Genomic DNA, 14526 nt, shown 5'->3' on the forward strand with positions numbered 1-14526 from the left:
GGGAAACCACCCCCATGATCCAGTTACCTCCACCTGGTTTCTCCCTTGACATGTGGGGTTTATGGGGATTCTAATTCAAGATGAGATTTGGGTGGGGACAAAAAGCCTAACCATATCACCACCATTAGGCTTTCTTCTCTAAGGTCTAAACAAAAACCAGCCTTTTCAAAGACTCCACACTGATAATGTTGACTACTAGCTTATGTTCCCAGGTAGAGAACAAAGACACGATGGGATTAATTATTTCCTCACCCCTCCCTGAGATGTCTGCTTCCTCTATTCCCATTTTCTTCATGTGTTTGCCTTATCTTATGTATAATGTAGATTTACTGGGCACTAGCTAAAGTCTCACGAGTATATAACCATTCTTCTCACTGTGTCCCACCACCCACTCCCACCTTTCTAAGGAAAATATATAAATACTGATATGGTTTGGCTATGTCTCCACCCAAATCTCAACTTGAATTGTATCTCCCAGAATTCCCATGTGTTTTGGGAAGGAACCAGGTTGAGGTAATTGAATCATGGGGTCAGTGTTTCCCATGCTATTCTTACAATAGTCAGTAAGTCTCATGAGATCTGATGGGTTTATCAGGGGTTTCCACTTTTGCTTCTTCCTTATTTTCTCTTGCCACCACCATGTAAGAAGTGCCTTTCACTTCCCACCATGATTCTGACGCCTCCCCAGACGTGTGGAACTCTAAGTCCAATTAAACCTCTTTTACTCCACAGTCTCGGGTATGTCTTTATTAGCAGCATGAAAACAGACTAATACAAATACTAAACCTCCTGAGAACTCCTTTGGAACAAATGGCCACAGATCCATCTGTGACTAGTGTTTTTCTGGGTGCATCCTCAAGCAGGCTCAATAAACCTTGATTGATTGGGCCACCTGCTGCAATCACTCATTTTGGTTGTCAAGGGCTATAAAAAATGAATTTACAGGAAATGATAGGAATGAATTGAAAAATATAAAGAATAGAAGGGAAGTTCTAGAACTAGAAAATATAATATCTCAAATAAAACATCCATTAGACAGACTTAACAGCACATTAGAGATGGTAGAAGAAAGACTAAGTGAACTTGAAGACAGAGCAATACAAATTATCCAACCTCAAGAAGAGAGTACAGGATTAACAACAGTAAAAAATGCAGAGTGCCTCTGAAACCTGTAGGGAAATATAAAAACTCTAATATATGTTTAATTAGAGTTCTAGAACAGGTAAGAAAAGGAGAGAGTGAGGAAACAGTTGAAGGAAGATTTACTGAAAAATTTCAAAATTTGGTCAAAAACATTGACATAGAGATCAAAGAAGCCCAGTGAACCTCACACAATATAACTTACAGATAAAGACACACACACACACACACACACACACACACACACACAGCCCTACCTTTGCGCATCATAGTCAAACTGGATATGATAAAGGATTAAAAAAAATCTTGAAGGAAGTCAGAAAAAAAAATGACAGTGCACAACAGGAAGTGACAGAAGAATGATGGTTGTATTAGTCTGTTCTCACACTGCTAATAAAGACATACTCAAGACTGGGTAATTTATAAAGAAAAAGAGGTTAATGGACTCACAGTTCCACATGGTTGGGGAGTCCTCACAATCAGGGCTGAAGGCAAAGGAGAAGCAGTCACGTCTTACGTGGTGGCAGGCAAGAGAGCTTGTGCAGGGAAACTACCATTTGTACAACCATCAGATCTTGTGAGACTTATTCATTACCATGAGAACAGTATGGGGGAAACTGCCCCCCCAGCCCTGCTCTTGACACATGGGGATTATTACAATTCAAGGTGAGATTTGGGTGGGGACACAGCCAACTATATCAATTGTTTATGTCTATCTCATTAGCCACATAGAGGTCAGAAAACAATTTAATGGTTTCTTCAAAATGATTAAAGAAAAAAAAATCTGTCAACACAGAACTCTGTATTCAAAGAAAATATTCATCAAAAATGAATGCAAAGTAAAGACTTTTACATATAATGCAAAAGTAGATTTCATTGCCATCAGGCTTTAATTTTAAGAAATGCAAAAAGGAAGTTATTTATCTGAAGGGAAATGACATCAGATGGAAACCTGTCTCTAAATAAAGGAATGAAAAGTATTGGAAATGGTAAAACTGTGGGTAAACTTGGGAGGCTGAAGCAGGCAGATTATGAGGTCAAGAGATCAAGACAATCCTGGCCAACATGGTGAAACCCCATCTCTACTAAAAATACAAAAATTAGCTGGGCGTGGTGTCACACGCCTGTAGTCCCAGCTACTGCAGAGACTGAGGCAGGAGAATTGCTTGAACCTGGGAGGTGGAGGTTGCAGCCGGCTGAGATTGCTTGCCACTGCACTCCAGCCTGGTGACAGAGCAAGGCTCTGTCTAAAAAAAAAAAAAAAAAAGTGGGTAAACATAAAAGGCTATAATTTTTTTCTTCTATTATTTTCCTGAAAATGTATATGACTATTTACATAATAAATTATAGTACCATATTGTGGGGCATACAATGTATATAGATATAATATATATGAAAACTTGTATATATAATGAGGGTAAAATAGATTACACTTTTGCAAGGCTTTTACATCTCATATCTCATGTGGAATAGTACAATAGTAATGCTAAGTATATGTAATAAATTAAGAATGTATTTCACAATCCTTACAATACCCTATATTGTAACTAAATAAATAGTGCAAAGAAATACACTAAAAACCAGTAGAGAAACTAAAAATGAATCTCACAAAATACAGCTATTCAAAAAAGGCAAGAAAAAGGGTAAGATTTTAAAAACAATGGCATAACTAGAAAAAATACAGAAAAAAATAGTAGACATAAATCCAACTATGTAAGTAATTATATTAAATGAAATTGAAACACTCCGATTAAAAGACAGATATTGTAAGTGGATTTAAATTGGAAAAAGACCCAACTCCTTGGCATATATGAGGAGCAATTTAAATGTAGGGCACAGAGAAGTTGAAAATAAAAGAATGGAAAAATATATACCATAAAAACAGTCAGATAAGAAAGCTAGAGTGGCTATAATAAGATCAGACAAAATAAGCTTTAAGATAAGAAATATTATCAGCAATAAGGAAAGATTTTAAAATGATAAAACAGTCGATTAGGAAAATGACAACAATCATGGATGAGTAGGTGTCCAATAGCAAACCTTCAAAATACATGAAGAAAAAACGGACAAAATTAGAGGGTAATAGCCAAATCCACTATCACAGATTTTAGCAACTGTTTCAGCAACTGCTAGAACTTAAAAAGAAATAAGCAAGGATAGAGAAGATTTAAACATGATTAATTATCATGACCTAATTGACATTTATATAACAAATAATCCAATAACTATAGAACATATCTTTCTTCTAACTATGTATAGCATATTTACCAAGGACCACATGCTGTGAAGTAAAGCAATCATTAATTCACTCAAAGTTTAAAATCTTGCCAAGTATGTTTTCTGACCACATAGAATTAAATTAAAAATCAATAACAATAAAGTATTTATTAAAGCCCCACTTGGTTAACACACTGCTAAATATCCTATGGGTCAAGGCAGAAATCAGAGGAAACATTATAAAATACTTCAACTGAATGATAATGAAAGTACAACATTATAATATGTGGGATTTAGGTTAAAGCAGTACATAGAGGGAAATTCATAGCTTTAAGTGCTTATATATATAAATATATACATATATTTTATATATAAATTATATATAATATATATTTATATTTTAATTGATATTTAAATTCAATATTCCTAGCTATCAACCTCAAAAGATGGAAAAAGACGATCAAATTAAATACAAGATGAGTAAAAGATTATATAAAAAAGAGCAGAAATCAATGAAGTAGAAAACCTAAAACAATTTTTGAAAATTTAAGAAAGTCAAAAGTGGGTTCTCACTATTTCTATTAAATATTTTACTGGAAGTATTAGGCAGTTGAACACTGCAAGAAAAAAATAAATGCATAAAGATTAGAATGGAAGAGATAAGTCACTCTTTAATAAAAAATTCAACTTTTATTTTAGATGTACACATGCAGGTTTGTTATATGGATATGTTGCATCCAGGTAATCAGCACAGTACCCAATAGTTTTTTTAACCCATGCTTCTCTCTCTACCTCTCCCATCTAGTAGTCCACAGTGTCTGTTGTTCCCATGTTTATGTCCACGTGTGCTCAATGTTTAGCTTCCACTTATAAGTGAGAAGGTGAGATATTTGGTTTTCTGATTTTGCATTAATTCGCTTAGGATAATGGCCTCCAGCTGCATCCATGTTGCTGCAAAGGACATGACTTCATTCTTTTTTATAGGTGCATAGTATTTCATGGTATATATACACCACATTTTCTTTATCCAATCTGCAATTGATGGGAATCTAGGTTCGTTCCATGTCTTTACTATTATGAATAGTATGACTATAGACATATGAGTGCATGCATGTTTTTGGTATAATTATATACCCAGATATGGCATTGCTGGGTTGAATGGTAGCACCTTTTTAAGTTTTTTGTGAAATCTCCAAGCTGCTTTCCACAGTTACTAAACTAATTTATATTCCTACCAACAGTGTATAAGCATTCCCTTTCCTCCACAGCCTCATTAGCATCTGTTATTTTTTGACTTTTTAACAATGGCCATGTTGACTGCTGTGAGACCGTATCTCACTGTGGTTTTAATTTGCATTTCTCTGATGATTAGTGATGATGAGCATTTTTTCATGTTTGTTGGCCATTTATATGTCCTCTTTTGAGAAGTGTCTGTATATATCCTTTGCCCATTTTTTTATAGGGGCTATTGGCTTTTTGCCTCTTGGTTTGTTTATATTCATTATATATTCTGAATATTAGACCTTTGTCAGATGCATAGTTTCTGAATATATTCTCCCATTCTGTAGGTTGTCTGTTTACTCTATTGATAGTTTCTTTTGCTGTGCAGAAGCTCTTTAGTTAAATTAGGTCCTGCTTGTCGATTGTTTTTATTGTTGCAGTTGCTTTTGGGGACTTAGCCAAAAATTATTTGCCAAGACCAGGGTCAAGAAGGGCATTTCTTAGGTTTTCTTCTAGGATTTTTACAGTTTGAGGCCTACATTTAAATATTTAATCCATCATGAGCTAATTTTTCTATATGGTAATAAGTCAGGATCCAGTTTCATTCTTCTGAATATGGCTGGCTAGTTATCCCAACCCATTTATTGAGTAGGAAGTCCTTTCTCTATTGCTTGTTTTCATTGGCTTTGTCAAAGATTAGATGGTTGTAAGAGTGCAGCTTTATTTCTGAGTTTTCTATTCTCTTCCATTGATGTCTTTTTTGCCAGTACCATGCTGATTACTATATTCTTATAGTTTAAAATCGAGTACTGCATTGCCTCCAGCTTTGTTCTTTTTGCTTAGGATTGCTTTAGCTGTTGTGGCTCCTTTTTTGTTCCATGTGATTTATAAAATAGATTTTTCTTTTTCTAATTCTGTGAAGAACAACATTGGTAGTTTATAGAAATAATATTGAGTCTGTAAATTGCTTTGGCCAGTATGGCCATTCTAACATTACTGATTCTTGAAATCCATATTGCATGGAGTGTTGTGTAGTTCTCCTTGTAGAGATCTTTCACCTGTTCAGTTAGCTGTATTCCTATGTAGTAGATCACTTTTTACTTACAGAAAACTTGATTATGTACATAGAAAATAGTAAGAAATTCACAATGTAAATATGAAAGTAAATAAGAGATGTTATCAAGGTCACAGAATGTAAAGTCAATAGAGAAAAATATTTGTCCTTTTATACACTAGGAGTAAACAATAGAAAAGACAACATCTTTTTAAAAATGGCTTTAAAATAACATCAAAATCATAAAATACTCAGGAATACATTCAACAAAACATGTAAAATGTCTACCCTGAAAACTATAAAACATTGATAAGAAAATGAAAAGACCTAAATAAAGAGCTATACTATGTTAAATGGACTGCCAGACTTAAACTTTTTAAGGTGTCAGTTCTCCACAAATTTTTCTACAGAGTCTAAGCAATCACAATCACAATCTCAGAAGGCTTTAGAAAAAGAATTTGAGAAGGTGATTTGAAAATTTATGTAGAAATGAAAAAGACCTAAGAGTGCCAAAATAATCTTTGAAAAGAGCAAAATTAGAAGACTTACTTTACTTGAATTTAAAATTTACTATCATCATCAACACAGTAAGATATAATCAGGATATATGAGTCAGAATAGACTCACAGTTTGACAGAAGAAGATATAGAGCCCAGAAATAGACTCACATTTGTTCAGTCAATTGGTTTGGACAGCATTTTTAACAAACGGTGCTGAAACAAGTAAATATCCACATGGAAATAAACAAACAAACCCTTGATTCCCTGCCACACACACACATAAATCAAGCCGGATCATAGATCAAATCATAAAGGCTAAAACCACAAAGCTACTAGGAAGAAAAAAAAAAAACCCAAGAGGGCCAGACCTGGTGGCTCACACCTGTAATCCCAACACTTTGGGAGGCCAAGGTGGGCGGATCATCTGAGGTCAGGAATTTGAGACCAGCCTGGCTAACACTACAAAACCCCATCTGTACTAAAAATACAAAAATTAGCTGGGTGTGGTGGTGCGCAGCTGTAATCCCAGCTACTCGGGAGGCTGAGGCAGGAGAGTCGCTTGAACCCAGGAGGCAGAGGTTGCAGTGAGCCGAGATTGCACCACTGGACTCCAGCCTGGGTGACAGAATGAGACTCCGTCTCAAACAAAACAAAACCCAGGAGAATATCTTAATGAACTGGGTGTAGCTAAGGATTTCTCAGAATATGAAAATAGTAACAATAGAAGCAGAAGATTAGTAAGTAAGATTTCATAAACCTCAAGATTGTTTTCATTGAAGAACAATGTTAAGAATATGAAGAGACAAGCCACAGACTTCCAGAAAATACTCTTAATGCATATGTCTTGTGTAGAAAATATAGAAAGAACTTCTACAAACAACTCAATGAATTATTGGCAAAAGATTAGAATGAACTTGTCAAAAATGAGGCTATATGAATGGCCAATAGCATTGGAAAGATTTCTCTACGTCGCTAGTCATCACTGAAATGCAAATTGAAACCACAATAAGATACGACTTTGCATGTATTAGACTGGCTAAAACTAATATGACAAACACAACCAAAGTTGTTGAGAAGACAGAGCAACTGGAATTCTCATACATAGCTGATGGGTGTGAAAATGACACAACCACCACCACCTTTGAAAATGGTTTGGCTGTTTTTCATAATGTTATACATACACCTAGCCTATGATACAGCAATTACACTAAAAGATATTTACCCAACATAAACAAATGTGTATGTATATGTGTATGTGTGATGTAAAGACTTGAACACAATGTTCATAAAAATGCTTTTCATAATAATCTCACATTGGAAAACTGGAAATAATATATAGATTCATTGATAAGGGAATGGATTACAAAATTATGGTACAGTCATGAAACAGAATTAAAAAAAGATGAATTATCCTTAATTTTAAAAAAGGATGAACTATCGTTATAACAGCATAGATGAAATTCACTGACATTGGGCTGTAAAAGAATACATTCTCTATGATTTCATCTATATGATGTTCTAGTATAGGCAAAACTACTCCATGACGGAAAAAATTAAAAAGCAGTTGTCATTTGGTGGTGGAGTATTAATTGGTAAGGAGACAGGAAACTTTCTCAGGGGATGGATGTGCTGTTTATCTTCATAGGAGTTCAGATCCCAAGGCTGCATGTGCTTATCACAATTCATCGAATTGTACACTTAAGATATGTGCATTTTACTATATGCAAATTTTATGCCACACCAAAAGAAACAGAACATAAACAATATTGAACTCTATTGAATATGCTTGGGTGATTTTTTTGCAGAATTTGAAGCTAGGAATTCTAATTTATACTCTATGTATTCTATTATTGAGCAAATAACTAAATCTACTAAGGATAATGGAGACAATTTTCTCAACTGTTGGATAAGGGCATTGTAAATATGGAAAGCATTAAAATGATAATGTAATGTATGGTGTTGGATTGGAATTGGAAATGTCAATATTGACTCATTACAGGTAGGATGGATGGTTAGATAGATAGACAGATAGATAGACAGATGATAAGAAAAAGCTCTTCTTTATAGTGGAAAGCCAACCAATAAATCCATAAGGAGCCACAGAATTAGAAAAACATGAATGCATGATAAAACTGAGTAGTTAAAGTTCATTGAGGAACAGGACATTTACAAAACTGGAAAGCATCTCCTCAAAATTGCTTCAGAGAGTAGAGATCTATTGGATACTTCCTCAACTTAGTGATTAAAGTTAATATCCCCAGTACTGTGACAAGTCAACATTATATGTTTCTTACATGATGCACTGAGAAGAGCCCAACATCACTTATTTGGTATTCTTGCCAAAAATGCATTAACTAAATATAATAATGAAGAAACATCATATAAACCCAGATTGATAGAAATTCTACAAAACAGTTGCCCTGCAATCTTAAACATTGACAAGGTCAAGAAAGAAAAGGTAAGACTGAAGACCTGTATTCCCAGTCTTTTAGTAGACTGAAACACGACAACTAAATGCAATTCATGATCCTTATGGATTTTGATTCAAGATTTAAAAAATAGTTATAAAACAGCATTGTGACAAAAGGTAAAATGTAATATACATTGTGGATTAAGTGAGAATATTGTATCAATGTTAAATATCCTGATTTTGATCATTGTAAGAGAATGCATAAATATTTCAGAGTGCAAGGGCACAATATCTCCAACTTGCTCCTAAACAGTTCAGAAAAAAAATTATATATGTGTATACACATACATGTTCATAAAGAAATGAGGCAAAATGCAATAACTGTTAAGTCTGGTGTAAATGATATATACAGGAGATCTTTGTATAATCCTTGAAGTTTTACCTAAGTTTAAAATTATCTCAAAATAAAAAACTATCATAAAAATACTAAAATACTTGAAATTAAATATTAAGTACAAAAGCAGAAATGATGAAATTGAATTTGTACATTTTTATTTTTTGAGACAGAGTCTTGCTCTGTTGCCCGGGCTGGAGTGCAGTGGTACAACCTTGACTCAATCTCTGCCTCCCAGGCTAAAGTGATTCTCGTGCCTCAGCCTCCCGAGTGGCTGGGATTACAGGCATACACCACCATGCCTAGCTAATTTTTGTATTTTTTATTTGAGATGGGGTTTCTCCATGTTTCCCAGGCTGGCCTTGAACTCCTGGCCTCAAATGATCCACCTGCTTCGGCCTCCCAAACTGCTGGGATTACAGGCATGAGCCACTGCACCCAGCCTGAATTTGTACAATTGATAGACAATTTTATAGTTGTCTCTGACAACTGAAACAACAATATATGCATTTTCCAGAAATATTTTTAAAAGAATAACATCAATATTATAAATGAGAAAATAAGCATAAGCATTGATGTAGTAAATTAAAACTTGAATTTTCATACCTAGAAGCAGGGTGGAAGAGGGAAAAGCCTTCTGGGAAGATGAAACAGTGCTAAGACCTTGTGCTGGGAGGGAGGATGAAGCTCTAGGGGAAAATCCATTTCCTTGCTTTTTCCAGTTCCTAGAGGCTGCTGGTTTTCTGTGGCTCATGGTCCCTCTCCTTCATCTTCAAAGTCAGCAATGGTGGGCTGAATCCTTATCAAACTGCGTCAATCTGATCTGCTCTTCTGCATAATTTTCTGCACATCAAAGATCCTTGTGATTACATTCAGCCTTCCTGGAGTAGTTAATCTACCTATTTTATAGTCTTCTAATTAGACACCTTAATTCCATCTGCAACTTTAATTTCCCCTTTGCCATGGAACATAGTCACAGGTTCCAGATATTAGTATGTGAGTGTCTTTTGAGAACCAATACACTGCCTACCACAGTGAGTAGAAAGCCAGGGTGCTCGGAGTACAGAGAGTATGGGAAAGGGTGATAAAGACCACGCTAGAGGGGTAAACACTGGGACTATATTACTACTTACACAACGTCCTCAGTTATTACAGACAAGAAGATGTATAGATCCCCTCTCTCCCAACCCTACTTCCCATCCTGTTTCCCACTAAGTACCTGGAAGAATCTAAAGATTCTTCTAAATATTCTAAAAAACAAAAGGAAATTTCAAATCATCATCTAAATAGCTGGATATGCAAAAGGGCACTTTTATGTAGGAATGTAGGTTGGAAATACCTAAAATGGGAGGACTTTTTTTTCTCCTTAGAGAGAAGGAGCAGAAAAGAGTCAAAAGAAGAGAAGAGGGTGGCAAGAAGGGAGTTCTCTTGTTCAAGAAACATGGGAGATTTGCTACAGGATCTTTATGAATGAAGATGTCTAACAGTCTGTGTAATGTTTTTCTGCTCCTAAAATTTAAATCTCTAACTTTTGTCAAAGTTTGCTGTGTATAAGAAGGCTCTTAGCAAATAGATTTGTTGTAGAAATCAGGAACAGTGGCTGCATGCACCTCTGGGAGACACCATTGGAGAGATAAACAAACACTGTAAGACACAAAGCCAAAAAGGATAACTCAGTAGAGGCAAAAGGTCCAAATGAGAGGTCACTGTGAGATGGCACGAATTCCCTCTCAGAAACACAGAAGTCTAGGGAGGGCATTCAAGACAAACTTATTCAGATTCGGAGAGCTGCAAATCTCAAGTTGACATCCGGACCATGAGTTTGCCCTCTTTCTCTAAAACTGTGTTTTTTCAAGGATGCCTGTTTTCAGCAGCATTTCATATACTCTCACCCTTTTTGCAGCCTTTTTGCCTTACCAAGATCCCTTTTCCATAATTTTAATCCAGAAAAAAATGATAGCTCTTAGAGTACATAGATGTAGGAAAAAAATGAGAGGAAAAGAGAGAACATGTTTGCAACTACAAATCAGAGCTGACGTGGAAAATAGAGCTTGGGTATCCCGAAATAATTTCACAGGGCAATGTGTGCAGGACAGGATGAAAGTAACCGACATTGAGTTTGGCCAATTTAAGGACTTTCCAATTACTTTGAAAGCCATTGACTGAATTTTCTATTCTGAAATAGTCACGTAGTGTTCAATTGCTCTGTTCAGGACAGAGACGTACAAAGCAATCAGTAGTTTAGTTTCTAGAACTGTTAGCCAAATTGAAATCACTTCAGTGTCTGACACCTCGTTTTTCCTGAAGTTTGGAAATGAGATGTAGTGAGAGGAGACGAGTCTCCAAGTTAGAGAGAGTTCACAGCTCTGGAGGGAGTGAATAGAAGCCAACCACACCCACCCCAAAAAGGAAATGCTTTTCAACACCTACGTACTTTTTAAAGTTGCATTTTGTGTGTTATTTTAAACAAAAACAGCTTGACACACTCTGTAGTGTCATGCACTAGAGCTGCTTTTCCTACATTTTATTTTCTGATTTTCCAGGATTTAATTTTTCCCTTCCATTTCTGACTTTATTTATCTTGAGTTAGAACAGTTGCTCCCCTCAATAAAAGTGCCAGAAGGAAGGCTCTCCAGCATTTCAATGGTCTCCAGCAAAATGGCCAGAGGAATAGTCAAGACTTTCTACTTTGCTTCTAATTCAATAGGGACTTCTATCATGAACACTCAAGTGCTTATTCTATAGCCTCGGAGTTGAAATATTACATAAAATGCTGTTGAAGATCCCCTTTTAAAGTTATATGGAAACATGGGTTAATTATCAAAAAGAAGGATTATGAACTGAAGTGAGTATTCATGTAATGAACTGGTACATCCATAAGTAAGCCAGAGTTTTAAAAATGGGACGAGTGGCCAATTCTGTTGCCTGTAAAATCACTTTTGAAGACATTATTTATATGCAGCTTTTACTAACATCTCTGTTAGTAGAAGCTGTGATGTGTAAAATTCCTACTCCCATTGAGAACAATGGGATTTGATCTGGACCACACGACAAACAAATGATTCTCTATGAGATATTTGTTTATGCTAACAGGTCCTTGGCTGCTCCCACTTAAGAAATCAACATATTATGCACAGAAATAAATTTATCGCAGGTTCACAATTCTCATTTCAAGAGTTTCTTGTTTTTAATTCACAAGTTCCACCAATCCTTACTAAAGACTTGCAATATTTGTTTTGTAAAATAAGAAACAAGATCAAACAATATTGTTTAAAATGGTCAATATGTCCTCCAGTGTTGAAATCAGGATTTAGAGTTTCTGTTTCTATGTAACCTATGCTATTGCCTGATTCTTAGCTACGTTTTATGAGTACAGATTTGGAAACAACTTGGCCCTAATTCTCCCCTCCCCACCCTCAAGCTTTCTTTCTTCCTGCCCCAAAATTTTGATTTAAATGGTGGCAACAGATGATCCATAATGGTTGATACTTGTAGGATGACCAGTATTGTGAGGAAAAAAGCAACATTAGGATAAAATAAGAATGAGAACTGAATGAGACTGAAAGAGAACCTCAGAGATGCTTACATAAATCACATAGGTGATTGCCGACTGAGAGAGATAACTCTTTTTATAAAGGAATAGATGGAAATAAACACGCTTAAGGCCCACAATGTTCTCTTATTTAATTTTCAAAAAATTATAACTTTGCCCAGGCACCATGGCTCGGGTCTGTAATCCCAACACTTTGGGAGGCTGGGGCGAGAGGACTGCAACCAGTTCAAGACTAGCCTGGGAACCACAGGGAGACTCCATCTCTACAAAAACATTTAAAAATTGGCCGGGCATTGTGGCTCATGCCTATAATCCCAGCAGTTTGGGAGGCTGAGGTGGGCGGATCACTTGAGTTCAGGAGTTCAAGACCAACCTGGCAAACATGGTGAAACCTTGTCTCTACTAAAAATACAAAAATTAGCTGGAAGTGGTGGCGCACATCTGTAATCCCAGCTACTCAGGAGGTTGAGACATGAGAATAGCTTGAATCCAGGAAGCGGAGGTTGCAGTGAGCCAAGATTGTGCCACTGCATTCCAGCCTGGGCTACAAAGGGAGACTCCGTCTCAAAAAAAAAAAAAAAATTAAAAATTATCAAGTGTGGTGGCCCATGCCTGTGGTCCCAGCTACTCAGCATACTGAGAGAGGAGGAGCACGTGAGCCCAGGAGGCTGCACTCCAGCCTGGGTGTCAGAGTGAGACCTTGTCTCAAATATATATATATATGTATGTGTGTATTTTTATATATATATATATATATACACACACACACACACACACACACATACACACACACATATATATAATATATATATACACACACATATATATATACATATATATACACACATATATACATATATGTGTGTGTGTGTGTGTGTGTGTGTGTGTGTGTGTATTCATGTTTATGGATAAGAAAACCAGGGCCAGAGAGGTTGGGTTATTGTTTAAAGCAAAACAACAAAAATGAGTGACGGCATCCATATTAAACCCACAGCCATCTGGCTTCAGCATCTATCTTCTTTGATGAGAAACATGGAGAAGTGACATATTTATGGATTCACAGGGGCAAAGGGAAGCAGAATTTAAGATAGAGATTGAGAATGAAAAGAGAGAGGAGGAGGCTCTGTCAGAATTTCCAGTGTTTCCAAATTAGAGAAAAGATACAGTTAAGAATCTGAGCACAGAGGCCAAGAGAAAAATGTCAAGTTGGGTTTCAGAGGGCCATGAGGATAACTGATAAGAACTTGTTTGTTTGAAATTTAAGGGTCATCCCACAACTGTGCTCTGGTTCCCAATGCTTTCTCCTTTGTAGATTTCTAACTCCCCACCTCTTATTCTTTTCTATAACTTCATCCTCTCCATCTCTAGAGACTCCTTTACATCATCCTTGAAATATATCCATGTATATTTTCACAACAAACATCTTCATCTTTGTCCTACAGCAGCTGTGGCTCTATTTCTCATGTGCTTCTTTTCAAGCAAACTTCTTGAATTCATTGTTTTCACTTCCACATATCCTATTCACTCCTCAATCCGGTTTCCTGCTCCACCATAATCCCATTACCAACAACATGTCGTTAAATCAAACACACATCTTCCTTTGGACTTCAACTTTGCTTGACCTTTGAGCAGAATTTTGGCACTTTTATCATTCCTTGATTTCCCTGACATCACTCCTTCCTGGTTTTCTTCCTACCTCTGTTCACACTTCATTATCCTCTGTAGAGTTACCTTCCTCTACCTGAACTTCAGGCACTGGTGATTCTGAGTTTGGCCATGGGCCCAATGCCTTTCCCACAATTCTCATCTACCCATGGTGTCCTTATCCATGCTTGTGTCTTTCATTATCTGCCATATGGAGTCATTTCCCTCAAGAATGCCTCAGTCTTATTTCCAGCTATCCACTAAACATGTACTCTTATCTCATGGAAACACAAAACCATGCATTTCTAAACCTGTTATTATATTATTCCCCAAACCCAATATTTCTAGAGATTTCTACATTAGCAAACCTTTCATTCAATTTTCCCTTGTGCA

General features: G+C 36.2%; 1 long non-coding RNA gene across 2 annotated transcripts in view; it reads right to left on the reverse strand.

Annotated features, from left to right (window-relative positions):
- Positions 1 to 14526, reverse strand: part of LOC153910 (uncharacterized) — a 111435-nt gene that overhangs the window by 60303 nt on the left and 36606 nt on the right. Inside the window, exon 2 of one of the 2 annotated variants that reach the window (NR_027311.1) lies at positions 9543 to 9779. The exons of the other annotated variant lie outside the window; for it this stretch is intronic. This is a non-coding gene — a long non-coding RNA (uncharacterized LOC153910). The remainder of the gene's footprint in view (positions 1 to 9542; positions 9780 to 14526) is intronic. 2 annotated transcript variants of the gene reach the window in all.

The sequence above is a fragment of the Homo sapiens genome, chromosome 6 (genome assembly GCF_000001405.40).
Source record: "Homo sapiens chromosome 6, GRCh38.p14 Primary Assembly".
In the NCBI taxonomy this organism is placed as follows: Eukaryota; Metazoa; Chordata; class Mammalia; order Primates; family Hominidae; genus Homo; species Homo sapiens.